Source organism: Homo sapiens, chromosome 7, assembly GCF_000001405.40.
Source record: "Homo sapiens chromosome 7, GRCh38.p14 Primary Assembly".
NCBI classification, from domain to species: Eukaryota; Metazoa; Chordata; class Mammalia; order Primates; family Hominidae; genus Homo; species Homo sapiens.
In genome coordinates, this window is record NC_000007.14 from 13,722,558 (window position 1) to 13,749,876 (window position 27,319).

Genomic DNA, 27,319 nt, shown 5'->3' on the forward strand with positions numbered 1-27,319 from the left:
AATCAGTGAGGTCTGCAGCTTGGAAGATTCTCTTCCAAGCTCAACTGGTTGTTGGCACAATTCATTTCCTTGTTGCTGTAGGACTCACAGGGCTTGCTTCTGCAAGCCCAGAGAGAGAATCTCTGTGACTTTAAGTTTCTGACCTGTAGATCCCCTTTTAAAGGGCTCACCTGATTAGAATAGGCCTATCTAGAATAACCTTTATTTTAATTAAGTCAACTGATTAGGAAACTTAATTGCATCTGCAAAATCCCATCACCTTTGTCTTATAATCTAACCACTGGTGTAACACTTGTTATAGTCACAAATCCCATCTCCACCCAAGGGCATGGGATTATACAAAGGTTTGGATACCAGGGGAAGGGAATCACAAGGACATCTGGGGACTCAATAAACCATATTGGGGAACTTTAAAGAAAGGAATATACATAGTAGAGAGCTGAAAGGAGAAGAGAAAATGTTAATATCATAAAAGAACTTTAAACCCACAATTATCCTAGCTCCCAAAGGCCAACCCAAAGCCACTATCTCAATAAAAATAATTACCATGTCACTGACTGAATTCTTCACACTGTTTTAACTAAAAGACAAATTAATCAATTTTAGTAAGACCTATGGCAAAATGTATCATATTTTCATTTAGGTACCTATTGCTGAAACTTTTAATCCAGACTTAAAGTAAACATACAAGAACATAAGCATTATTTTCTGGCACCTATTCCCCTTTCTTAACATAATGCCATTCTAGCATTTTCTTCCCGTAGACATTTAGGCCCATTATCACAGCACAACAGAGTAAAAATACATTGCCAGAAGCCTGAAAAAATAACATGCTTTTCTTAAGAAATGGAAAAAGATAGATAAATAATCATCCATAAGCAAAAAGTTCAATAAAATTTAAATTAAAATTCTAATAACTAGAATCTAGATTTCCAAGGTTATATTTTATCAAAATTATCTTCACTAAAACATTGCAAAATTTTTCTGATTAAATATAATCACCATTTAAAATTTTTTCCTATTTGGCATTTATTAAATTTTCCTTTTAAAACAATTTGTTTAACCTTTACATTATGTTTAAACTTAAGAAAAAGAAAGAATACCATGAAAAAAGAAAGTAAGGAGAGGATAAAATATTATTTTTATCATAATTAATTTTCTGAAATAAATTAATATTTTTAATTTAGAAATACACACCACAGAAAATAACATACACTAAAATCTTTTGCTGTCTTTATTATTGTATTAAATTGTACCTAATATACTTTTTAAGTGAAAGTAGAGTCTCATTCCTCTATTTACAATGATGGTCTTTTGTCTATCGATTAAAAAAAATTTTTTTGCTTCTCTTTTCAACAGGAAGCATGAGATCACAGATAAAGCTTAAGCTCATATGTCTGGATAGAGCACTATTCTTTGTACCAGTTATACACTGTACACATTGCATATTTTAAATTATTTATGTTTCAGAGGAAAGGGTTAGCTAGGTGATTTACGTACTACTGGTAAAATCCCAGTCCACAAAACTAGCTGTACAGAAGACAATTGAAACTTACTCCTGAATATTTATAAATCATTCCAGAGTTAAGATAATAATGTAATTCTCAAAAATAACAGTGAAAAGCAAGAAAAGTTCCTTTTGGAGAAATAAAACAATAGATCCAAGTTTCAAATCCCTCTGGGTTAGGCCGTAAATCAGGTAAAAAGATATAATTTCATGCCAAGCCAATTCTCTATTAGAAAGGGAATGTGGGTTCTGGGAGGCATGCACTTAATCTGACTTATGCACACCACAGTGTTGTCCATAGAATGTACAAATAACCCCATAAGAAAGGTTAATCAAATGTGCACTGTGACTTAGGATAAAATGCCTGGGACGGCTGACCAATTCGATTCATATCTCCTAGTGGAGATCCATAATGTCTCAATTCTTAATTATCTAGTCTTTTGTGCATTAAAAAAAAATGGCCAATAAAATGTCAGCCAAGAAACACACTGTTCATTCCTTTCAGGTTTATTTTAAACCTATTGCACTTAGGCTAGAGCTAAATCAATTTTTCATGAATATCTACCCCGGTAGATTGCACCTCTAGCCAATTCAGATCCCCAGAGAATTTTAAAAAAGAGATTTATCAAGTAACAAGTAACACCTCAGGAAAAAGAAACAGGGTTTTTAATTGCTTTGTGTGCTCCGTAATTGAAGGCAGGCACCTTCTTGAGGCGCTCGCTGCCAGGAGGAGTGAGACTCCACTTGGCCCTGCCTAATTAATCCTGTGATACAAACCTTCTGGCTTCAATTTTCACATTTCTGTCTCTTTTTAGAGGTGATAATAAAACTAAAAATTTATGTTGGTTACTGTATGACTATAACTGTGCCAGCAGAACGCAAATAAAACCATATGGGCTAAGGAGACCTTGTCTCCATATTTCTGGTTTCCCTGTGGCACGAGGTACCAGGGCAAGCTTTGTGCTAACAAGAAAAGGTAGGGAAAACTCAGTAGCGGGGTGGAAGTGCAGGTCAACCCGTTCTTATGAGTTTGCTCTGTTAAGATGACTCATTGAAACATATGCCTTTTTTATTGACAAAATTTTTCTCAAAATAGAATCGTACACTCTGAAAGCTCAATGGCTCAGTGACTGCATATCACTAAACAGTACTAGAGCTTTTAATGAAAGACAAATTGGGCAGCTTAGCCTTTAAAAAAAGCTGTCAGAGTGACAAGTGCAGGGTCTATTATCTTAATAGCTTACATATTAAGATGAGTAAAACACATCCTTTAGAACTTTGTCCATGACACCAGCAACATCGTAGCTGAGCTGTGATGCATAATGCATCCCACATCGTGAATTGGCTCCATTGCTGACACAGGTCAAAATTATTTTGCTTTTATGGAGAACCTTGATTTGTAATGTGACATTATTGTTATATGTCTGGTGGAATGATACTTAAAGAGGAGGCAAACAAATGGGGAGAATAATAGCACCTATGGGGTAGTAGTTTACACAGAAAAATAGTAGTTTCAAAGATTGGCATAAATTCGAAGGGTATATTGTGCCTGCTGTTCACAAATAATGGATTTTTTTTTAAGAGAAAGAAATTTCTAAAAATTATGTTACTTAAATTATTTTTATAGGTGGTTAAAACTTTCACAGGTTATATCATTTTCTTTACCTTTGTTTCTTTGAAATCTGTTTATTTTGAACAGTTTCCACTCTTTCTGCTGAATTTTTAAAAATATGGGAGCCATCTGGTGGTCAACAATTATAATTTTTCTTAAAAATTAAATAATGTTTTATTATAAAATAAAGTGCTGTCTAATTTTAAAATTTGGTAAGATCTTCTTTTTTTCCCCAGTAGAATTATTTTTTACAAAGGCACTAATTCAATACTCTCATAGGCTTAGTCAAATAAATTCTGCGCATGAAACTTTTAAAATATACTGTTTTCACGGTACATTCCATTCATTTTTTACAAATATCAAATGGACTCTTCTTTCCATATTGTTCATGTATTTACCAAGAAGTAATTTAAATCATGCAAGGAGTTGAGAAAAATACAAATATGTCCTTGAAAGTTTTATAATATGTGAGTTTTTATACTTTTTAAAATAAAGCAAGTGATTTTTATAGAATATTCTGCATAAAGGGGAAGCTTTGGGAACAAGGTCCAGGATTCCATAAATATACATGGATATGGAAGATAATTTTAAAAGGAAAGACTTAAATGCAAAACCTTAACTATAAAAGTTCAAGTTCTGGCCAGTGATATGTGAAACATCAAAACAGAACTGACATTAATAGCAATTGTTGAAGTTCTACATACCTTGTTCACATGACTTAAAATAAGCTGCTCACCTTCTAAACTAGTATATTGAATGTATGTATATATGTGTGTATCTATAATACACACATATAAAATGTGGTCTGTTGTGAGTATATTAAAACTGACCATTTCACTCTAATCTCTACCTCATGATTAAACTGTAGAATTCTTTTTGTTGTTGTTGTTAGGTTCTGTTAACTGCTTTTATTGCTATTTAACACACACTGAATATTTACTCTATGGCAGGTTTTTGATTACAAGCTTTTATAAATAATCTCTTTAGGCTGGGGATAGTGGTAAGCACCTGTATTCCCAGCAAATCCAGAGGCTAAAGTGGGTGGAACACTTGAGTCCAGGAGTTTGAGGTCAACCTGTGCAACATAATGAAACCCCTTCTGTAATAAAATAAAATAAAATGATTTTGTTGAATCTATGTAAAATACTACCCAATGGGTACCATTATTCTCCCATTTATTTTCTGAAGCATATGCGGCTCAGAGAAGTTATGAAACATCAATACAAGTGAGTGGCCTTGGCTTTACCCCAATTCTAACTCCAATTTCTGTACGTTTATCTACCATTCAAAACTAAAATGGCCACTAGACACTCTAATCACTTGTAGTTTGTCTGTTCAACAACATAATTACGTCCTCAATCAGCTTTGAATTGGAAGGGAAAGCACCAGCCTTATAAGCCAAATCTGTTACTTATCTATCAGGTTCCATGGGAGGTAAAGTAATAAGGAGAAATGAAATATCATTGTAATTGTCACTGAGTGTTTAGTTCATTAGGCACTCTTTCTTCCTTCTCTTCTGGAGCAAACTCTTTCCCTTCCACTCAGGGTTGGCTTTCTTCTGCTTCAACTCTGGAGGGAATGCCAATCGCGAAACTCTGGGGATTGGGCATGTAGTGCAGGCCTGGCCACTGTGACATGTCCAGGAGAGAGCAGGGGACCTAAGCCAGAACAAGCAAAGGCATTCCCTGGTATTCTTTACCCTTCTGGGAAGAAGGGTGGTGAGAGCTCCTTCCTTCAGATCTCCAAGTTGAAATGATATAGGCATGAAGCTTCACTCAACCCCTGGGCCTCTTGCCAGAACCCTCCACATGCACTCCTCAGTACTTGGGGAACAGAAAGGAATGAGATGAATGCACATGGCTACAAGAAACGAGAACTAACAGAAAATAAAAAGCCTCGAGACTTTCACTTGATCTAGCTAAGAGCTCTAAAGCAGTGTTATTTCTTCAGAACTTCCTTCAGTGTTTGAGCTACCCAGGAATTCTTCCAGTAAACTTGTTTGCTGGGTTTTGTTTTTGCTGTGGTTGTTTTGCCTTGAGCTAGTTTGAGTTGGATTTTTGTCACTTGAACACAGGAAGCCATTAGACTGTACAATTACAAAATATTAGGTTCTCCTATGGTAGAAAACAGAGATAACCACTGTTACCGAATAGTATCTTTCGGGTGGGTTTTAAAATAAACAGTTTCCCTAGGAAAAGAGCCAGCCTGCCTGCATATGGCAGGGAAGTGTGACACAAAGCACCAGACTGGTTTTGGCAAACACAGGGAGGAGCCAATTTCCAAAAGCTCTACAGTTTTAATCCCCACTGGCATGCAATGTTTGTTTGTATCTCACCCTTCTATGTGTAAAACTGGACTCAAAATTTGCACACTTAAGGAATCTCTCTCTCTCTTCCTCTCTCTCTCTCTCTCACACACACACACACACCCCTCTTCCTGATTTTCTTGATTTTGATATGATCTCATTTGGGCCAGAAGTAATGCCTCCTAGAACTCTATCTTCCTGGTCTACTAAGAAAATAAAGTGGTACACATATTGTAAGGAAAGTGTAAATGTGGATGAAAGCAGAACAAATTTAGCTATTGTGACTAGAGACACAGGATTCATTAAGCCAAAAATCATACGCTTTTGAGGTGAAGCCCTCTAGCTTGGTATCCCAGCTTTGCCACTTATGTGCTGTGTAAGCCAGTTGCTCTGGATGGCCATTTTCTTTTCAATACAAGGGGTGAATATCAAGGTCAATGATATAGCTTGACTGTGTCCCCACCCAAATCTCATCTTGAATTTTCACGTGTTGTGGGAGGGACCCGGTGGGAGGTAATTAAGTAATGGGGGCAGGTCTTTCCCATGCTGTTCTCATGATAGTGAATAAGTCTCATGAGATCTGATGGTTTTATACAGGGTAGTTTCCCTGCACAAGCCCTTTTTTTGCCTGCTGCCATCCGTGTAAGATGTGACTTGCTCCTCCTTGTCTTCTACCATGATTGTGAGGCCTCCCCAGTTATGTGGAACTGTAAGTTCATTAAACCTCTTTTTCTTCCTGGTCTCTGGTATGCATTTATCAGTAGCGTAAAAATGGACTAATACAGTCAATTTCAAGATTGGCAATAATTCATAAAAGGAACCTAAAATAGATGCTCAATAAATGGCCAGTGTATTGGTGATTATAAATATTATTATTAATATTTGTATTATCATATTATATTATTAATATTTGTGTGATTGTATTAACTCAGCATATACTTTTGTTAACCAAAACACTGGAATGAAACATATAGCAAAGAGAAAAAAATAGTTTGATTCCTTGTTTACCAATTTTGCTTTTTCTGGGTATTCTCAATAAGCTTCTTTTGAAAAATAGAATGAAAACTAATAGTTCACAATCAAAACTAATAGTTGGAAAACATTAGTGCTGAAGTCTAACAGAGTATTGCCATTATTGAAAACACATTAAATATTCTATTGTTAACTCTGTATTTTTTCCAGTAACCTTATCATTTAAACTAAGATATGTTTCTGCAAATAGTCTGTTTTTGTCTTCTTTCCCCTAACGTATAGTGAGAGAAATTTAAGTCTCAGAACCTAGACCTATAACATTTATGCATAAGATACACAGTGTATTATATAATCTCTACTCAATCATTGTTATGTATATATTTGAACAAAACTATTACATAAAAATATTTAATCTAAGAAGGATTTATTTTAAACAGAATAAAGCCAAGTTTAAAAGTGATGCCCATTACATATGATAAAATAGCTCATTGGGTTCCTAACTTGCCTGCTTGTTGCAATCATGGGGGAACTTCAACAAATACTGACACCTTTGACTTACTACCCACCCACCGGCTAGAAAATCATTCCATTATCTGCATTACGGTCTTGACTTTGAAATTTTTTAAAGACTTCCTGGTGAGTCTAGTGTGCAGCAAGTTTAGGAAGCACTGGATTTGCTTCCTCACTATGTTTCTTTTCTTAGTGCTCAAGCAGTTTCTACCTGTTCTGTTTATTTTCTCTAAGAACAAGTACATTCATTACAGAAACTTTTATTTTATAATAGAAAATGAAAACACACCAAAGGAAACACATTTTTCCAATCATTTAATTAAATTAACGTGTTCCACTTCTCCAGTGTTCAACACATTCTGATAGGGACTGATGAAGAAAATTTTTTAAAAAGATACAGGGCACAGATTCTGCTTTAAAAATGTTAAAAGAGGCCAGGCATGGTGGCTCCTCATGCCTATAATCCCAGCACTTTGGGAGGTCGAGGCCTGCGGATTACTTGACGTCAGGGGTCTGAGGCCAGCTTGGCCACCATGGTGAAAACCAGGCTCTACTAAAAATACAAAAAGTAGGCCGGGCATGGTGGCTCACACCTGTAATCCCAACACTTTGGGAGGCGAAGGATGGGGGCGGTGGATCACAAGGTCAGGAGTTCAAGACCGGCCGGCCCAATATGGTGAAACCCTGTCTCTACTAAAAATACAAAAATATGCTTGGTGTGGTGGCACGTGCCTGTAATCCCAGCTACTCACGAGGCTGAGGCAGGAGAATTGTTTGAACCCAAGAGGCAGAGGTTGCAGTAAGCCAAGATCACACCACTGCACTCCAGCCTGGGTGACAGAGCAAGAGTCCATCTCAAAAAAAAAGTAGCTGCCATGATGGCATGTGCCTGTAGTCCCAGCTACTCAGGAGGCTGAGGCATGAGAATTGCTTGAACCCAGGATGCAGAGGTTGCAGTGAACCGAGATTGCGCCACTGCACTCCAGCCTGGGCGATGGAGTGAGACTCTGTCTCAAAAAAAAAAAAAAAATTAAAAGATTGTTCACCTGATAGAACAATGATTAAAATTCTAAGTGTCTCTCTTCAGCAATAATAATCTTGAGAGAACTTAACCACTTGAAAACAGTGAAAATATTTTTTAAATGCAAGTGAACCACAATAACTGCAGCGACCAGAGAAGAAGCCCCTCCTTCTTTTTCTTATACACACCAACATTTTCTTTTGCAAATGTCATTGAAGTGAGTCTATTTCTTCATCTGATGTCTAGAAACTACTTGACTGATTTTCATCAACATTGGAGGTGACAAGACGGCTTCATATATGCAGCCATTCTCTAATTCATGTGAATACTTTGTTCATTCCTTGAATCTACCATCTACTCCTATCAGTGCGAACACCATTAAATACCTATGCTGAGATTTTCACAGTTGAGAGGCATTAATATGTCTATAGGATTCATATTCTTTATATCATATGAACAGTGGAGGAAAGGTCTACATTTATACAGATGTCTTTACTCACTTCTAAAAATCCCAACTAATACCACAGCTTGGCATTAATCAAAGATTTCCAAGTTTTATGTCCCAAAAATGCAATCTTTATCTCAGGCCTATAATGAGGATTAAAGGTGATAATGAAAAAAAGAGTACTTAGCACGGTTCCTGAGACATAGTAGCCACTCAATAAATGTTAGTTCTCAAAACAAAGATGACGTCCAATTTCACTCTCTTGAAATGATTGTGTTAATTTTAAGAGTGCTTATAAAAAATTCCTTGAAGTCATTTAAAAGAGAAGCACTATCTCACTTTATTGACATTATTGTCACCTACTCCCAAACTTACTGATATTTTTAAAACTTGGAGTAGGCTTCCCTTAATTGGAGTTATTAGTATTTTAACAATAAGTAGTTGTAGATTCCTAAATGGTGGCCTAAAGCAGGTTGAGAAAGGGATGCATAGTTAGAAGTAGAATAATAGTTTACTGATGACCTTCATTAAGTCTTTACTCTTTTCTCAGCAAAGCTAGAGGAAACCAAAGTCATAGAACATCTGAACTCTGTCCAAACATCGGTCGTATTTCAAAATTTCAGGTTAGTATGCATAATATATTAATGCTATACAACTTCATTGTGTTCACTTTAAAATTTGTATTAAGTAGATTGCTACATTATGGTAATGTACTAAATTACCTAAAGCAAAGTAATACAATGATTAACTGACTATAAACATTGGTTTATGGTCAGTTTATAAAGTATTACAATGATTAATATTATGCATTTTCAAAACAGTAGAAAATTGCAGGATGAAATATCTGTGGATTGACTCAGTGCCATTAGGAATAATAAAACAGTGGTATAACTCAGTCTCAAGTTACATCTTGAGAGTAAACTTTGTTTTAAATCTTCTCCCTAAGTGGTCAGGAAATTCATTAATTTAAAATGCCCAATGCTTGCCAGACACAACATTGAGAATACAAGTGTTCATACAAATATATCAGGCAAACTAGGGCTTAACTAAAGTTTTTTAAGCATTTTTCTTCAATGTTTTGTGGAAGAACAATGAGAAAACATCAGTTTTATTTGTTATGTTCTCTTAATGATTACAAAAGTAAGTAAAATGGTTATATTCAAGATTTAGGTTTTGCCTTCTTTCAAAAATAGGTTTGAATGAGTTGCAACTTTCAAAAATAATCTCTCAGATCTAGAGAAGCCTAGCTCATCTGTTCTACAACATAATGTACTAGACTGAGTCTTTGTGGAGAAACCAGACAACACCAAGAAAAAAGAAAGTTATAAGTTTATATTGTTCTATTGCGGCAAAGGGTTGGAATGTAGGTAGGCACCAATCAAAGGATTTGGGCCTCAGGGAGGAGGAAGTCTATAGAATTACGCTGAAGAATGCTGCAGCAGAATTGTCTAGGTTTGACTTCTCACCTTGCCAGAGAACTGCTGTATAATCTTAGGCCGATTACCTTACTTTCCTCATCTCTAAAATGGATATAATATCTCTGTTTTGAATGGATTAAATAAAAATTGTGAAGTGACTGGCCCATAATAGACAATCAATAAATCACAGTTATTTTTATGAACATTATCATTATATTTATTACTAGTTGATTGTAACTAGTTGGTTATTACTGAATTCTAATGTCCCAGTAGAAAAAGAAGGAAAGTGAAAATTGGTATGGGCCCAGTCTAAGAATGCTGGCTGGCGAAAATGATACGACCTTGAGAAATTGTGCAAGAGCCTTAAATACATATGTTGATCATTTTATATTGCAGAGCCTCAGACTTCCATGATAATATCTGCCTAGTCTTTAGAAGAGTGTATGGAAGTGTTCAAGAACCTTTCCTGAAACAACTTCTATTACAGACACTGCTTCTTCATGGTTATTCCATCAGATTGCAATCACTTATATGTTTTTTTCCACTCTTCCTTATATTATGAGCACTTTTCACGTAGGGGTTCATCTCTTTAATAATCATAGCTCCCAACACAATTGTAGGCTTATATTAGATGCTCGATAAAGATGAGTTGAGTTAACATGTAAAGTAATGAATGAGTAAGGAAAAATAGAATAGTTTCGAATTAATGCATGTTACTGCTACTGTAAATTTAATGTTTTCATTTCTATTACTATTTATATATAAATTTAATTAATTGTTAACTTTCTTTGCCATCCATACATCTATTTATCTGCTCATTTGAAAATCTCTTTCCTGTTTCCTATTATTCAAAATATTAAAAGCAAATATTACTTAAATATTTAAATCACTCTTTTTCCATGTTAAGTTTCTCAGGATGCAGAATGTTGCTGTACACTGAGAAATATTAGGCGATACAAAATGGCTACTATAACGTAATGTTCTAGAAAATGATAAAAGTCAAACCCATTGGTTTTTGCTGCCAACACAAGTTTGTCAATGTAATTAATGCCCTTTAGCCTGGGAGGGTTGTATGACAGGAAAAATGGCATCAAAGCCATTTTTATTTAAAAAATAAATTTAATATTACTTGATAATAAGGGAGCTATATAAGCAAAAATCTTAGAATTTTCTTTTTCTTTTTTTTCCTTAGTTTCACATCTTTCTACATAGTATCCAAATCCCAGTTGTTGATACTAATTTTCTTGCCTTCTTACCCTTAACAAGTTTGGAGACAAAGTTAATATCATTAGTAGTATGTAAACTAATTCCTAAAGCAAAAGTCTCTAAAAGTGTGATCCATGTCCCATTTTTTATTGGTCTGCAATGAGGTAAGCACAGAAATTTTAATCACCTCCACGCATACCTTCAATGAGCAACATGTACAGTTTTTTGAGACTCTTCTCTCTTTTCCTGTTATTTTCTGATTGCATTTATAAAAATGCAATTTTGTGTTTGTTGAATCTGATGATAAAAAATGAGGAAACACCGCATATTCTCACTCATAGGTGGGAATTGAACAATGAGATCACATGGACACAGGAAGGGGAATATCACACTCTGGGGACTGTTGTGGGGTGGGGGAGGGGGGAGGGATAGCATCGGGAGATATACCTAATGCTAGATGACGAGTTAGTGGGTGCAGCGCACCAGCATGGCACATGTATACATATGTAACTAACCTGCACAATGTGCACATGTACCCTAAAACTTAAATAAAAAAAAAATGAGGTTCGTATTTTGTATATCTGTTCTTTTAAAGTTTATTTTCTAAGTAATTCATCTTCATTGTATTTCATAAAAGTGTCAGTCTGTGACAGATTGGAAACAACAGAGAGAAGAAAAAGAAAGCTAGTCCTCCACCACAGATAGTTTGAGAACCACCATCCTAGAGCATGGTGGCCTTTTCCCCACATTATATATTTTCTTTAAAAAATATTTTTAACTTATTAAATAATATGCAATGCTCTTTTTTTTTTTTTTTTTTTTAACTTCTCCAGGTGCTGCATTCCATTTGTTATTTGTGTGGTCTTTACAGGTGTTTCTTTAACAAATTGTAAAGCATCAAGACTGAATTTAACAGCAACAACAACCAAAAAAACAAATATGACAATATTATGTCCTGCTTAAAATGCATGAGTAGCATCTCCTTACACATATCTTTAATGCTTCTGAAGGCTTAAAGTTCCCTCCAGTAACTGCTTCTGATTTTTGTTTTTGTTTGTTTTTTTTTTTGAGATGGAGTCTCGCTCTGTCACCCAGGCTGGAGTGCAGTGGTGCGATCTCGGCTCACCACAACCTCTGCCCCTGGGTTCAAGTGATTTTCCTACCTCAGCCTCCTGAGTAGCTGGGATTACAGGCATGCGCCACCACACCCGGCTAATTTTTTCTATTTTTAGTAGAGATGGGGTTTCTCCATGTTGGTCAGGCTGGTCTTGAACTCCTGACCTCAGGTGATCTGCCCACCTTGGCCTCCGAAATTGCTGGGATTACAAGCGTGATCCACCGCGCCCAGCCTGTTTCTGATTACTTTTTAACCTGATCTCTAGCTTTCCACTCCAGACCATAGACATGTGCTCTCATCTCCAGGTCTCTGAACATATACTTTACTCTGTCATGGAACCCTCGTCTGTCTCTCTCTTTCTAAACACACACACACACACACACACACACACACACACGCACACACGTGCATATATATATATATACATATATATATATATACACACACACACATGATTCACACTGCTGATACCCACTCTCTCGAGGTCTTTAGGTTTCACACTACGGGGAACTTTATCCCGTGTCTTTGATCTCTTACTTGTGCTATTAGTACTGTTTTCTTTTCATCAAACTTACTATATTTGTAAAATATTTTAATAGCTCTTTTTCCCTGGATTATAGTTTTGGTAGGTCAACAAACCAGTTTTTGCCTTTGCTTTCATATTCCCAGAACTGAGGACACTGTGTGACACACAGTGGGTTCTCTGTATTTAGAAAAGCAAAAAGTGTATAAAAGAATGTGTGAAGTGGTAATTTATAATGACAAATTCTCATAAGTGCTTTTGTTGCTTCATATCCCTCTGCAATACCCCACATAAAAAGCCATTATAATAATATTAGTAACTCACAGAAAGAATACCATAACCAAGGGGTCTTATTTTGTCTTATCATTATTAATACTTAGATCTTCTCTCTCTCTATAGTACTTGCTGTACAAATAAGTCTATTAAAAAATTCAGTTTGTCATTTGTGACATTTTATTTTTCCAACTTATTAAGTGTATTGAAAATTTAAATTCTGTTCCTCAATATGGTACAAAAACTTACTTATTAAGGCCAACATCAATGGAAAGGTTTAATAAAACCTCTGGAATTCAGGGTAGTTTGATCTTAATTTAAAATTGAACTCTGTGTAACTCCATTATTTCAGGTTCATTTACACTAACTTCAACTGCAGTTTAATCCTCAGTGCATCGCTTTTTTTTGCATTGGTCTTTTAAAATAATGCCTATTTTCTTTTTTTTTTTTTTTTTTTTTTTTTTTTTTTGAGACGGAGTCTCGCTCTGTCGCCCAGGCTGGAGTGCAGTGGCGGGATCTCGGCTCACTGCAAGCTCCGCCTCCCGGGTTCACGCCATTCTCCTGCCTCAGCCTCCCGAGTAGCTGGGACTACAGGCGCCCGCCACTACGCCCGGCTAATTTTTTGTATTTTTAGTAGAGACGGGGTTTCACCGTTTTAGCCGGGATGGTCTCGATCTCCTGACCTCGTGATCCACCCGCCTCGGCCTCCCAAAGTGCTGGGATGCCTATTTTCTTTAATTCAGTTATTAATTTAACAATTAACTCAAAAATATGTTTTTATTGCCCATCTACCAGGGGCAAGACACTTTAATAAGGATTTTCACATAAACTTCATGCTCATGGTTCTCCTCTAAGGCTGTTTCTATTATTTCTGAGAGCTAAATCCTAGAATGATTAAGTAATTTGTATGAAAACAAGTAGCTAAACTCTGGGAGAGTCACAATTCAAACACAAGTTGTCTGACTTCATACCTAATACTGTTTCAAGTGCTCTTCTTATCATCATCACTGATATTTTCTAAAAATGCATATGACTTTTTCAGAAGTTCTTTTGAGATTATAAGAATCTGAAGTAATCGCCCTCACATTATAATCTAAAAATCACTCAGCACATTCAGTAAACCAATTGGAAATCAATTGAAAGCAAAACATAAAAGAAAATGATTTGTACATAGGTAATTTTTTGGTAAAAAATTAATAATGGCTGACTGAGTCACATGTTAGCATGGCTGGCTTGATGGAAAGGAGCAATAGTTTAACTTACTCATAAGTCAAGTAAGTTGGCTTAATGACAGTGGGGAACAGCATACCCATACAATTTAAATTCAAACTTATGTTAATAGTTCTCAAAGCAGGACATCTAGAAACCTCCATATTTCTTCCAAGTGTAGTAGTATACCAAATGTGAGACACAGATGGATTTACTTGGTTTACTTTCCTATCCTATGTGACATTAATATTAGTCTTTGTGACAGGCCCATCAACTCTATTCCCGCTTCTACTTGAGTATAAAGGAAAAGAAAGGCACCTGTAGGGAATGCGCTTTCCTGTTACATGGAGGCCACTTACAAAGAAAGATTTCCAAAGAAAGTGTTGTCCCTGCCCACAGAAATTGATATAACTCAAGTTCTATAATCTAAGAATGTTTGTTCAGTTGCTTAGAACTTATTGCAAAGGTGACCAAATTAAGTATCTAATCATTCCTCCACCCATCAAGTTTTATCTTGCACAGCCTATTAGGTGGCCAGCTGTGTCACCAATGTGTGTTACTGACCACAGGTAGGGTTAGATAGGAGAGTCTAGTTGGTCACAAATAATAGTTTAAATATGTAGCCTTCAGTTATTTGCCATTACACATGAAAGAAACTCTCATAACACATCTGTAGAAACCCTAATCATTTAAGCCAGCAATTATGGATAGTCTCTTAAACAAAAATCTATTAATTTCATTACATTTGCTCATATAGATTAATCACCACTCACCTTTATATCAAATAAAAATGATGGTGTTAAAATCAATAAATGAAATACCCCTCAAACTATCAAGTAGATGCCTAATTTAGAATATATTTTTTCCTCTCGTTACATGTCTTTTTGTCCGTAAGAATAAAAATCCTCTTATAAGGAAACCTCACAATATATAAACAAATAACCAGAAATTTCAACTAAGTTATGTTGTAATAAGGCAGAATGGCTGTTGCAAAAGGTACAAATGTTCTTCAGAATAACATTTACACGAAGTGGGTTTTGATTGTTGCTTTGATCACAGGGTTAGAAGTGATGAAGGAGGAAATCTTATCCACTACACAGACTGAGTGTGGAAACCTGTATTAAGCAATCTGATAAGCCTAAGTACAGAACATTAAGTCTCTAGAAATACCTTGCACATATACCTGAAATAGCAGAAAACAGAAATCTTCAGCCTTGCATAAATATATTTCCACTTTCAATTTATAAGAGCAATTACTACTATAGGAAAAGATATTTCATAAGGATTAATGACAAGCTAAAGGTAATGATTCCTGCCCTCGTGTTAGGCTATCAGCTCCCTTCAGAGATGAAACCTAATCAATCTATCATTATTGAACTGATGTTACATACATAATTCTAAAAAAAAAAGCTACCTCATTTTGATGCCAATAAACTCCTGAAGATACAAAAATACAATCCTCTTCGGCAGGACCACTCTGATTGACTTTGCCCCAAAAATCTGCGGAGAGAAATTTAACAGGCTGACTATAAAGCTAAAATACTTGTTTGTAGCCACATTCACATTAAAACACTGATTGAATTGTAAAAGCCACAACTTCTCTGTGACTGGGGTTGTTGTTTGTAACATGGGGTAACAACTGCCTTCATCCACTCAATAAACATTATTTTGGGAGATAATTAAGCACAAGGCACCATCTAAATGCTGAAAATACAACTTTGACTAAGGCACAGTCACCATCTTCAGGGATTTTAATCCACTGGGGAAGATATCCAAGTAAGGAAGAAATTACAAAAAGGTCTCAAAACTCTCCCACAATGGGGCAGGGTAGGTGACAGGGAGCATATAACCTTGCCTTTAGAGTAGGTGTGAGAGGTGACCAGAAAAGCTTATCCATAGGAAATGACCTCAGAATAGAAAGTAATCAGGCTAATATGCTGGTCTCCCTGGCAGAAGTGATAATACATGCAAATGCTTGGAGGTAATTAAAGAAAAAAGCAACACACTCAAGCCACTGCAAGTTGTCCTGTGTGGCCCATTAATTCAGGGCCTGCATGAAGAGAGATGAGGCTAGAGACATAAGGAGAGACTACAGCATAAAAGTCTCCTGTAAACAATATGAATAGGTCTTCTTCCGAGAGCAATGGAAAATCATTTGTGGGTTTCAAGAGGAACTGACCTGATCAGATTTTAGGAAGTTAATTTTGGCAGGAGGGAAAGATGGACCCAGCCTCAGCTAAGCCTGCTGGAAAACCAGTACTGCAGCACAGGAAAAATAGAATAGTGGCAAGGGAGATGGAGAGACATTGATAATATCAAAGGATAACAAGGCAGTAAGATTTAAAATGTAATGGACATGGAAAAATGGGGAAGAAGGTGCCACTCCCTAAGAGAAGGTGAACAGGAAAAACACAGATTTATAAAGGTAGGTAAGATTTTCACTATGGAACTTGTGAAGTTTTAGGGCAGGACATCCAAATAGAGATGTCTTTTAGATAGATAGACAGGGCTCCTCCTGAGGAGAGAATGCTGGTATAGAAATAAATATTTGATATGTATATATTCTGATTGAGGCATTCAAAGTGGATCAAGTTGCCTAAGGGATATAGTCAGATAAGCAGAGACAAAAAGGGAATGCACTGAAAACATAGCTATGTATTTAAAACCACTGAAGTCATGGGAAGAGATAGGAAGTACATGAGGGTATGTAGATGAGATAGGAAGACATTAAGGAGAGTGTGTTGTCATAAAAGTTCTAGTGGAATTTGTTAGTTTTTATTCCCAGCAGTCATTTCTTCTTCTTATGGTGTTACTACATGAACTTTGATATGAGTAAACTCTTCATTCCATTCTCAATCATGCTTTTTAGACTTCACCCCTAGGGTCTAGGAGTTGAATACACGAAATAGGCAAAACCTATTGAAGTTGAATACATGAAATATAAAGTTGAATATATGAAGTTGTTGAATACATGAAACGTGAAGTTGAATACATGAATACCTATTGGATTTGAATACATGAAATAGGCAAAACCAGTCAGCTCATTCTCTCCTGTCTACAAGACATGTCTACAAAACATGTCTACAAGCTCATTCCCTCCTGGCTCAAGAGTGGGCACAGGACTCAAATCAAGTCAATCGGTGTCAACACAGTTCAATTACAGAATTCTGAGTTACTGGGGAAACAGATTCTTCTGAACTGGTGTTGCAGTTCTGTGAGCCTGAAGTATATAACTTTCCTCCATCGAGTCTGAGAAGAAAGTCAAGACAAAACGTAACCAAGGGGGATAGATCTTACTGACATCACTTGAACCCTTTATCAGCAGGAGGTTACAATTTGAAGATGCTGAAGATGTTCATTCTCCCAAGTTCCTACCAAGAGTCACTATCCCAAATAGCTTCATGTTTCCTTACTTTTCTAACTCAAATCTACCTAGAAAACTGCTGCCATATTGATTTTCTTATTTTCATTATTTTAAACACTTTCTTCTGGCTATAAGATAAATATAAAATTAGGGGGAAATTGAATATTGAAGAAATAACAATAAAAAGCATAAAAATTAATTAGTACAAACTCCACTACTCAAGAATGCTGTTAAAAGTCCAATATAAAAATAGTATTTTAAATTGTATACAATAGTATGATGTAACTAATTTTTTAAAAAAACAGATACACACTTCTGCCAAAAACAGAAAAAGACCATAAGGAAATGTGTTAAAATGTCAGTTTAGGCTGTTTTGAATGATAAGAATGTAGATGAATTTTCTTTTTGCTATAAGAGTTAATATGTCTTCTCTGCATATTACATTAAGAATGAATTTCAGGGTTTTCTTCCTTCTCAATATGCAGTGGTTCAGTTCAGCTCTTTCTCTCAGAAACTGGGGAGATCCAAAAATGAGTGTCAGCGTCTATAATTCTCCCTCTGTCTCTAAAAAGGCATAAATTTTATGGTTGAAGTTACAAGTACTTCAAGACAAAGTTGGTGTTATAAAAATAAAAAAGTACATAGATATGTATTTACATATGAGATATACATATATATCAATCATACAACAGAACAGTCTCATGCCATTATTAGGTAGGTGTGTGGGATTTAGAAATCTCCAGCCACAAGAGGTAGGTTATGACAACAGACCATGCGTTTCAAAATGTTGTTTTAAACAAGTGAGTGTGTATAAATGTATTGAGGGTTGGATGGTGACATACGGAATTATCTATGTGATTTGAAAAATGAATACTCGGTCAGAGGTTGCAGCTCTAGAAATTGTGAGACTAACACCAAGCAGCTTAGGCAAGTAATTTTTGTCTATTTTTGTAAAGTAAGGCGGTTTTTTTTTCCTGTTCCTAAAATTAGGAGGAAATAATATTTTGCAGAGCTTAAAATTAGTTCTCTGTTCGAAGCTTTCAATATTTTTCAATGAGAGGAAATTTTTAAATAAATTACATTCTGTAAAATTAAAAATAAACTTCATAGAAAAGTACACTGAAACAAGCCCCAACATCGTTTTTAAATAAGAAGTTGAACTGTTAATGCAATGACATCTTAATTTACACACAATTCTCCATTTAGCTGTTTGAAACCTAATAATAACATTTGAGCAATAAATTATGTATCAAATATTTCCTCTTCTGATAGCCCACCAAAATATAGATTCAATGTGTACTACTGCTGAAAGTCCAAGTGAGATTTAAGATGACTCCCAGATATTTTAATTCCATGATATAAATTATTGGCTTCAGCATATATTCTAACATTACACTTCTCTTTACAAGAGTTCTTGCAACAGTTCATGACTTCTAACCAGGGCTGATATTAAATTCATGCTCTGGAGAAACATAATTTTAACCTGTCAAATGCTTCAGATTCTTTCCAAGATAGAACAAGGATTAATTTCATGTAAAGCAATAAAATTTACTGCATAAACCAAAACTTTGTAGAAATTCTTTGAGATTCACTGACTGACTCTTGAATCAGGATGCCCTTAGCATGAAGGGTGTATGCTACCCTTCTTTTCAGTCTACTTCAGTCCCTCCCACAATCCAGAGACCAGCTTTCCACCAGGTGTCTCAGGATGTTCTCCCCTTTATATATGGGCTTGTCTCAAAAACCAAAGGAAAGTGAGAGTTTTGTTTTGCCTTTTAATGAACACATGATTAAACTATTAGTTATTATTCAGTATGTATATTGTGATTTCAAGACTCCCCCAGTAAATAATTCACAATATTTCTTATGCTGCTGTGGAGTAGCTCATTTACAAAAGAGGTGCCTGTAGTGCTTTAGACAGCATTGACTGAAGTACAGCCTTGTGCAATTTTAGGGGGTCCTAGGAAGGGGCTAAGATTACTTTTTTTCAGGCTCTCCTTTCTCTTTAAAGCCTCTGGGTATATTGATCATGTTCAGGCCTCAAATATCAGTGGGGTGTGGAAGGAGGTGAGAGGAAGGTTATTCTACCTTGTAACATAGTTATCCCAAACCTCATTCTGGAATTTGACTCCTGTTTGAACTTAGGGAGCAATTAAAATACAGTCATGCCAACTCAGCCCCAGCCAAATGCTTTACACTTTTCTACTACAGGAATGCTCATCTCTTAAGCCAAGATTCCAATCCTTGTTTGTCCCTAGGCTGGAAAGCCACATCACTGACACAGCTGTTGAGATGAAGCCGAGATAGTGGAGTGGAGTCTTGACCTTTTACTCACCCTCTAGCACAGCCCATAAAGGGCCTGCATGAAACTTTGGAACTTTCTGAAGCACTGGGTGAAAACCACTAATCTAAAATGTTCTTCCAAAGTCCTTCCGGGTCCTAAATATTTGCATTCTATATAACACCATACTACTGGTTTTTATGAGCAACGTGTTCTTCCTTATTTAGTTTGGCCCCTCACATTCAAATATATGGGAGCTGCATTAGGAACCACATTTCCAATATATTCACTCTGGTTTGGGGACACAATTGTACAGCAGATTGTGGCACCAGATCTCTGATACATCAAAATGTCAAAAATTTGGTTACCTCTTATGGGATAAAGTAGAAGATTATGGTAACAGGTAAATATAAGTAACTCTCAGAAAGCAAAGTTTGAAGGTGTTTTATCTATTGAATATGCTAGCAAATTTTCACTTTCTTTTAAATGAAGATTAGGAAGGCCCCCACCAATATGCTACAGTGCCCTGATGCCTACGTCTACTGCTGAGTAAATACTCAGCTTTGCTCATGTAACTGGACCAGCATATTTGTCTGGAGCTGATGCTGCCCTCTGGCTGCCAATGTGAATTAAATCCTTACAGAAATAACTAAGCTTCATCACAAACAAGCAAGTTCAGTTTTGGAACTGAATCTTTGATAAGGTTCTCTGAGAAGCCCTCATTCTGGATCATGAAGTCAATACTCACTTCATACTCTCTTAACAGTATAGCACTTCTAAAGGGCAACATCTCAGCTCCCTCTGTTTCTAGCACTCAATATTGCCAATGAAAGGAAATTTTTTAAAAAACCATGTTCTGTAAGAATAAAAATAAACAAACTTCATAGAAAATCACAATGAGACAAATTCTTTTACCAGTGTCTCTGGCTTTCACATGTTTTTGCATAATGAAAGGGCTAATATAACATAACAAATCCTAAACTGTTTTCACAAGGAGTGGAAAAAAGATGTGTAAAAGTATGCTCTGTCTTGCTTCCTTCTGTTCACAATGTATCTAAATAAAACAAATGGTGTTCTTGCTCTTTCTGTCTGTTTCCCAATCTGTTTGGATAGTAGCCACCATCCCGCAGCCAACGATAATATCTGACACTTCCTGACATCATGAAAGCCACCATCTGTCTATCACCAAAACCCTGTACTTTTTAAAGACTACTTGGCTTGATCCTTAATGAAGCTTCAAGTTGAATGCACAGATCGCTTTAGAAGGAATACAAGGAATAATTGACACAAGGTATCTGTATAAAATCACGTTCTCATTAGATTCCATTTGAAAACATAAAATGAAATATTAAGGCCCCTTTCAGGCAGAAAAAGCATGGTTTACTTTCAATTGTGTTTCATTTCCGATTTGCCTGTGAAAGTTTAGACAGTGTTGAACACCAGGAATAAACCTAAACTAAAGCCTAAGCTTTAAATTCAATATTTTCCAGTCTTGTAAAATTAAACAGTTAGACATGACTTTGCAGTTTGTATACTTGAGCTATGAAAAAAGAAGAAAATCCATCAATTATTTTTCCAAGGCTTGAGAAAATCATGCCATTTAAAACTGAATCAACTTCTTTAACACCTGAACGATTATCCAGGAAACAAAAGAAGGTTCTGTATGTCTTCACTTGTAAATGTCACAGGTGAACACAAACAACCCTGTGCTGGCAATGTCAAGTCACTCTTTGTTTTATTAAACTGTTGTACCTCTATGTGTGCAACAAGGGAATTAGTTAACAGGGGAGACTGCGGAAAAATATAATAATTCCTAGGTGATATTAAGTTCTCTCAGAAAAAGTAAAGCTTTCCAGGGAGAAGACGGATTAACAAGTTTCATACACAACTTTCTTGACTGCACTCCAGTGTTGTGATTTGTGACATTGATTTCACACTAATGTCTTTCTTTTCTCTCCTTACTCCAATGTTGTCCTGTGGTTCCTTTTAACAACCTCATAAATCCAAATTTTGTGAAGTCATAGATATTTATCTGATAGTCAAAAACGTGTATGTATGTAGAATACACACTATATTCACTTATATATGTATATGTGTGTATGTGTGCATGTATGTATACAGGAAAGAGAATGAGAGCGCTATAGAGGCAGACACAGAGAAACGACGTGTGTGTGTGTCTGTGTGTCTGTGTGTGAATGTTTAGATCAGCCATAAGTTTATATCTTAAACTGGGGGAAAGATACGTATACAGTTCTGTTACAAAGTCCTTATGAGAGTTGAAGTTGCATTTCTCCAGAAAAAAATAGCTTGGTAAAATAAGATTTATCATGTGCTTATGCTATGCTAGGTACATGGTCATGCGCTTCATAATTGTCATTTCATTTGATTATATTTGTTGGGCACTATTACTATCCCACTGTTTTGAAGAGGTAATTAAGGCTTATAGATGGTAACTTAACTTGCTGAAGATCCCACAGCTAGTAAGTAATAGATACTGGATTCAAATCAAAATGGTGTGATTCAATGCCTGTGCTCTCTCCCACCACGACTGTACAGTATCCCTTGCTTAGACTGTGTACCCTCATACAGTCTCTAGCTATGAGATTATAAAACTTGGCACAGTAGGGAAAAGGGGGAAAGTGGACATCAAAATATTTTCATCCACATGAGTGACAGCCTTCCAAATCATCATCATGAAAGTCTAAGCACTTATTTTTCCAATTTAGTTGATATTTTGGAAGGGCAAGTGACTCTAAGCCATTTTATCAGCTTTAAAAGAAAAGATCATGTTGCATTTTGCCCCCATATTGGATTTATAGAACAAGCCCCACCTTAGCTGAAAAGCAGCCTCATTGCTATTCTTTGTCTGTCCACTCTACATCACTACGTTTTCAGATGGACAGTGAAGAATGAATTATCCACTTGAAATAACAGTGAGGGAGGCAGAATGGTTCACTTGAGTAGATAGTCTATCATAACACTAGACTCTTACTCCACTCAACGCACCGTGATCCTTAAAACCAACAGATGCCTGGGGAGCTGTATTCGACATGTTATCCAAGGTTCTTCCTAAGAACCTTGTCATGGAAATAGCTGTCATTTTTTTCTCCCAAACTAATTCAGAGTAAAGGGTATATCTTCATATCACTGAGTCTTCTACTTTCTGCTTGTCACCTAACCTATTGAAAAAAGAAACATAAAAATATACACCCTTGAGCTGAAACATTAGCAAAACCTGCAGCTAGTCCTTTTACTGTGTGTGTGTCTTGAATTGTACTGGGACTCTCCATAGACATTTGATTTTATTCATTAGTTTAATAACATTTAATTGCTCCTCATTTGTTACATGCAAACACATTCATTTCATGTTACACTTCCCTCTACTAGAGAATTCAGGCTCATGTTTCGCAACCTGGAGATGGGGCATTGTAGTTTTTAGAATAGAAATAACACATCAGAAAAAAATGAGAGCAGGTTGTTTAAATAAAAAGTGAATAAATTATTCAGACCAGCTGTTTGGATTTGGAAAGAACTTTTCTGTGTTGATTAAAACCTCTTAATTTGTTTTGTGCTGCTGTGAAAGAGCAGGGTGTAAATAAGTTGGGACCAGAATGCCCTTCTCTGTCAGAAGTACTTGGTCCAGCCCAAAAAAATATGGCCACCTCAGAATGTCTTAATCTTTAGAATAATGTAGGAAAGTGGGGGTTTTTTTACTTTAAAAAGATTCATAATGTTAATGAAAAATATAGTTGACATTTTTAAACAATAAAAAAATTTCCAGAGATTACAACATACATATCCTACAGTTAAAAAGAAAGAAAAGAAATGAAATGAAGCTAAACTAATAATTAAATAACACCATAAGGAAATAAATAAAAAGTGACTGCTAATATTTGCCCATCATCATCCTTTATATCCTCACCCTTCAAATCTTAATGCTTCTTTCTACATAGATTTATTATGTTTAGGTTTTTATTAATTCTAGTCTACAAAATGTCTTCAAATAAATGTATTAAATACTAGTCCCTAAGTATTTATTATAAGAAGTATCTTAAGAGATTCTCATTTATATATCTAATATCATAAACTTGACCTTTCTAGCATTCTTTTAAAAAATAACACATAACGGAAGACATTTAAATAAAGTTTTTGTGAGTATAAACTGAAAGCAATAACCTTTCTTTATACTAAATTACTATAGAGTTATCATTCATAGAGCATGACTTTAATTTACTTGTTTAAAATTTTTTTAAAACATAAAAAGCAGAATGATTTTTTAGCCTATTGATGAAAATGGTTTTAAACTTTATACCATAGTAATTATTGTCAATTTTTGCTTCTATAACATTTTTCAATGGTATGCTCACAAGATAAAACACAAAAATTGGTTTCCACAGAGATCTCCTGGAAAAAGCCTTATACCTAATATTCTTGTTTGGAGGAAGAAACTGGGAAAAACATCTGTCATCTCCTCACCAGGTTGTTTTTTGTTTTTTGTTTTTCTACTGAGCTGTTGTACAGAAGCCATTTATTGAGTATGCAGGCTATTTTAACAGTGCCTTGCAGTATAAGCGTGGGCTAGAGAAAAGAAGAAAGAGAGAAAAAGCATTCATAATTCATAAATATTATTCAACATAAACAGCCTCAAAGATATTTATAGAAATACCTAGGGTATAGGGAGCTGTGTTGTGGGCTGTATAACTTTCATTAGTTATGCAAATTTACCCAGGCAAGTTAAATGAAAAAAAAAAAGAGTGCATTAAGAATGTTAATCACATTTGAAAATATGACCTAGCTTTAATATAGTACAGTACTCTTCTGGACATCTATACTTAGACTTCTTAATCACAGGTAGCAAGTAGAAAAGTAAGTACTTTATAGAAAAATACAAGTGCTAGTTTCACTGCTTTCACGGAACCCAGATAAATGTGACAACGTTAAAGGTAAAAAAATAAAAAATGTACACTGTTGTACAATATATACATGTTTATTGCTGGGCATTTAAGAAAATATAGACGACCAAAAGGATAACAGAAAAAGGCTCATAAAACATAAAATATAGGTTTTAGTGTATATTCTTCTAGTGTTTTTCTTTTCTGTAAATTCTCTGAAAAAAGATATATGATCTTAATGGAACATAAATCACAAGGATATGCATCTGTCTGTATATATCTGCTTGACCCAATGTGTCCAAAGAAAGCTGTTAATTTTGTCTCTGGATAGGCAACTTATCTTTACCATGTTCAATAATTTTATCCTTTATTGAAATTAATGCATATTTCAGTGATTCTAAAGAAAATGTCAATAGTAGAGCATTGATTCAATAGTTCTTTATCATTATTTTCTAATTGAAATTTTCTTATTTTTCTCATTGGAATATCTGTCTTCATTTCTCTACTCAAAAATCACAGCATTCTGTCAAAACTCAATTTAAGTCACATATCCTCTATAAAACCTTTCTTTAAGCATTGTCCTAGTTTCCTGTGACATCTTGATTTGTGTGTGTGTGTGTGTGTGTGTGTGTGTGTGTGTGTGTGTGTGTGTGTGTGTCTGTGTGTATTTTTGTTGTTTTGTTTTGTCTTTTGGCTTCCCAGCATGTGGTAAGGACTCTGACAATGTTACTGTTAATGCCACGATGACAATTTCAGGGTTTTTTTCTAGGTTCCCAATTATTTTATCCTTTCTCAGCCTCATAGTCTTAGGTTTATTTGCCCACAGAATGACTAATTTCTACTTGTAGGTTTTTTTATTTTCAAAATTTTAAGAAAAAATGTCTCTTTTACAACCAAATCAGTTACAATGTTTAAGTTATGTGGTAACATATAGTTTAAATCTATCATGCAAAAGTTTATTGGCTTTCTTAGCCTAACAGGTTTCTGTCACCCTTGTTTTAATACTCTTTATCCAGAGCTATACATAATAAACAGTAGTAAAAAAAAATTCAAAGACATTATATATTTAGCCTGTCCCCAAATAAGGAAAATCTGAAAGATAGAAGAGCATAATGACTCTTTTGACATTTCCTCATTAACCTTATAAAAATATAAGCTTTATACACTTTTGAATTGATTTCACAACTTATCAATGATTTTCTAAATATAGCCATGTATGTTTTCCATGGAACTGTATTAAAAACCCCTTGCTATTTTAATCTAAATAATTCAATAACCTTGTAACACTACAAAATAAACAGATAACTTATTATAATGAGATGATGATGACTTTTATAGGTTGTGGAATGATCATTTTAGAAATTATTACACTTTATACCTTACGCCTTACTGCTAAGAAATTTAAAACAGAAACTAGAATACAAAGTAAAATGTGATAATTTAACTTAAATGTATTCAAAGATGGAATAAATAAATAATGTATATATGTCTATACAATCTTTGGCATTTTTTTAAAAAAATCTTCTTTTCAACAAGTAGATTGAATATCAGAGGTTTTTAATCATGTGTATGCAACAGGTGTCTGTGCTATTATTCTTAAAGAGATAAATGAAACTGATTTCAGTGCTGCAGTCAAAATACTGCATCTTGCAAAGTGCATATCACAATTTTAAGTTTCTACAATGTTTTATATTACTTGATTTAATCTGTTTAAGCAGTGAAGTACATGGGGGAAGTTCCTTTCCAAATTTTACCTCTCCTAGTATTTTTCTTCCTCAAATACTGTTCCATTTTACAAATCAAAACAATTGCAATGTGGACATCTGAATGCAGACACTCTGATTTGCAAGAAACTACATTTACAAAAACAAAACGCCAGGAAATGTGAGAGGGAAAAGAGCTGCCACCCAGAATCCTGTAGCTAAGCAACGGGATGTCTTCTCTTCAGTAACCAAATTATCCAATCACCCCCTGTGGGCCCCAGAGCTCTATAGGATTTCCATCGTTTGACTTTAACTTAAGCCGTTTCTGGGCTCTTTAACCTCAGGCAATCAACCGTATGTTGTCAAGTTTATGGGGTATGAATTTCCATCTCAAAATTGGTCACAGCAGTCCTTCTGGAGGTTCTAGTCTCTAACAATCCATCTTACGGAATACTTAGTAGAACTGATCAAAATAACATGAATGAAACAATATAGGTATTCATGAATAAGAGCAGCTACAATGAATGAGGATTGATTATAAGTAAAATGAGTTATTATTCAAAGTCCCAATGAATTTCTTTCCACATGGAGATTTTCCAGTGTTAAACATAAGAAAGGGTGCTTATTCCTAAATGTATGTATTAGTGACATAATTGCTTGTAATAGCCCACCAATGAAACTATTTTCTAAGAGAAAGCACCCTAACTAAGCTCTCATGGTTTGTTTTTTGGTTTTTTGTTTGTGGTGTTGTTGTTGTTGTTGTTTTTAGTTCTGGAAAATACCTTTAGAAATGTATACATATGCCAGACACCTAGGACTTCTGGAACCTGGCAAACCACCTTTTTTTAGGAACAATGCCATCATAACAGATGGGTGTTAGTGTAGGCATGCCAGGGAATCAAAATGTACATCACGTTCCACTACAAGGGGGCAGAATCTCATCCAGAAATACCCGTCTGTG

At 35.3% G+C, this 27,319-nt stretch overlaps 1 long non-coding RNA gene across 5 annotated transcripts in view; it reads left to right on the forward strand.

Annotated features, from left to right (window-relative positions):
• LOC105375161 (uncharacterized) overlaps nt 1-27,319 on the forward strand; it is a 37,849-nt gene that overhangs the window by 9,868 nt on the left and 662 nt on the right. For 2 of the 5 annotated variants that reach the window (XR_927049.4, XR_007060214.1), the window contains 3 exons: nt 6,022-6,133; nt 8,923-8,995; nt 10,187-11,361. This is a non-coding gene — a long non-coding RNA (uncharacterized LOC105375161). Of the gene's footprint in view, nt 1-6,021; nt 6,134-8,922; nt 8,996-10,186; nt 11,566-20,876; nt 26,963-27,319 lie in introns of those variants that run through there. The other 3 variants (XR_007060213.1, XR_007060215.1, XR_007060216.1) reach the window with 3 other exon arrangements.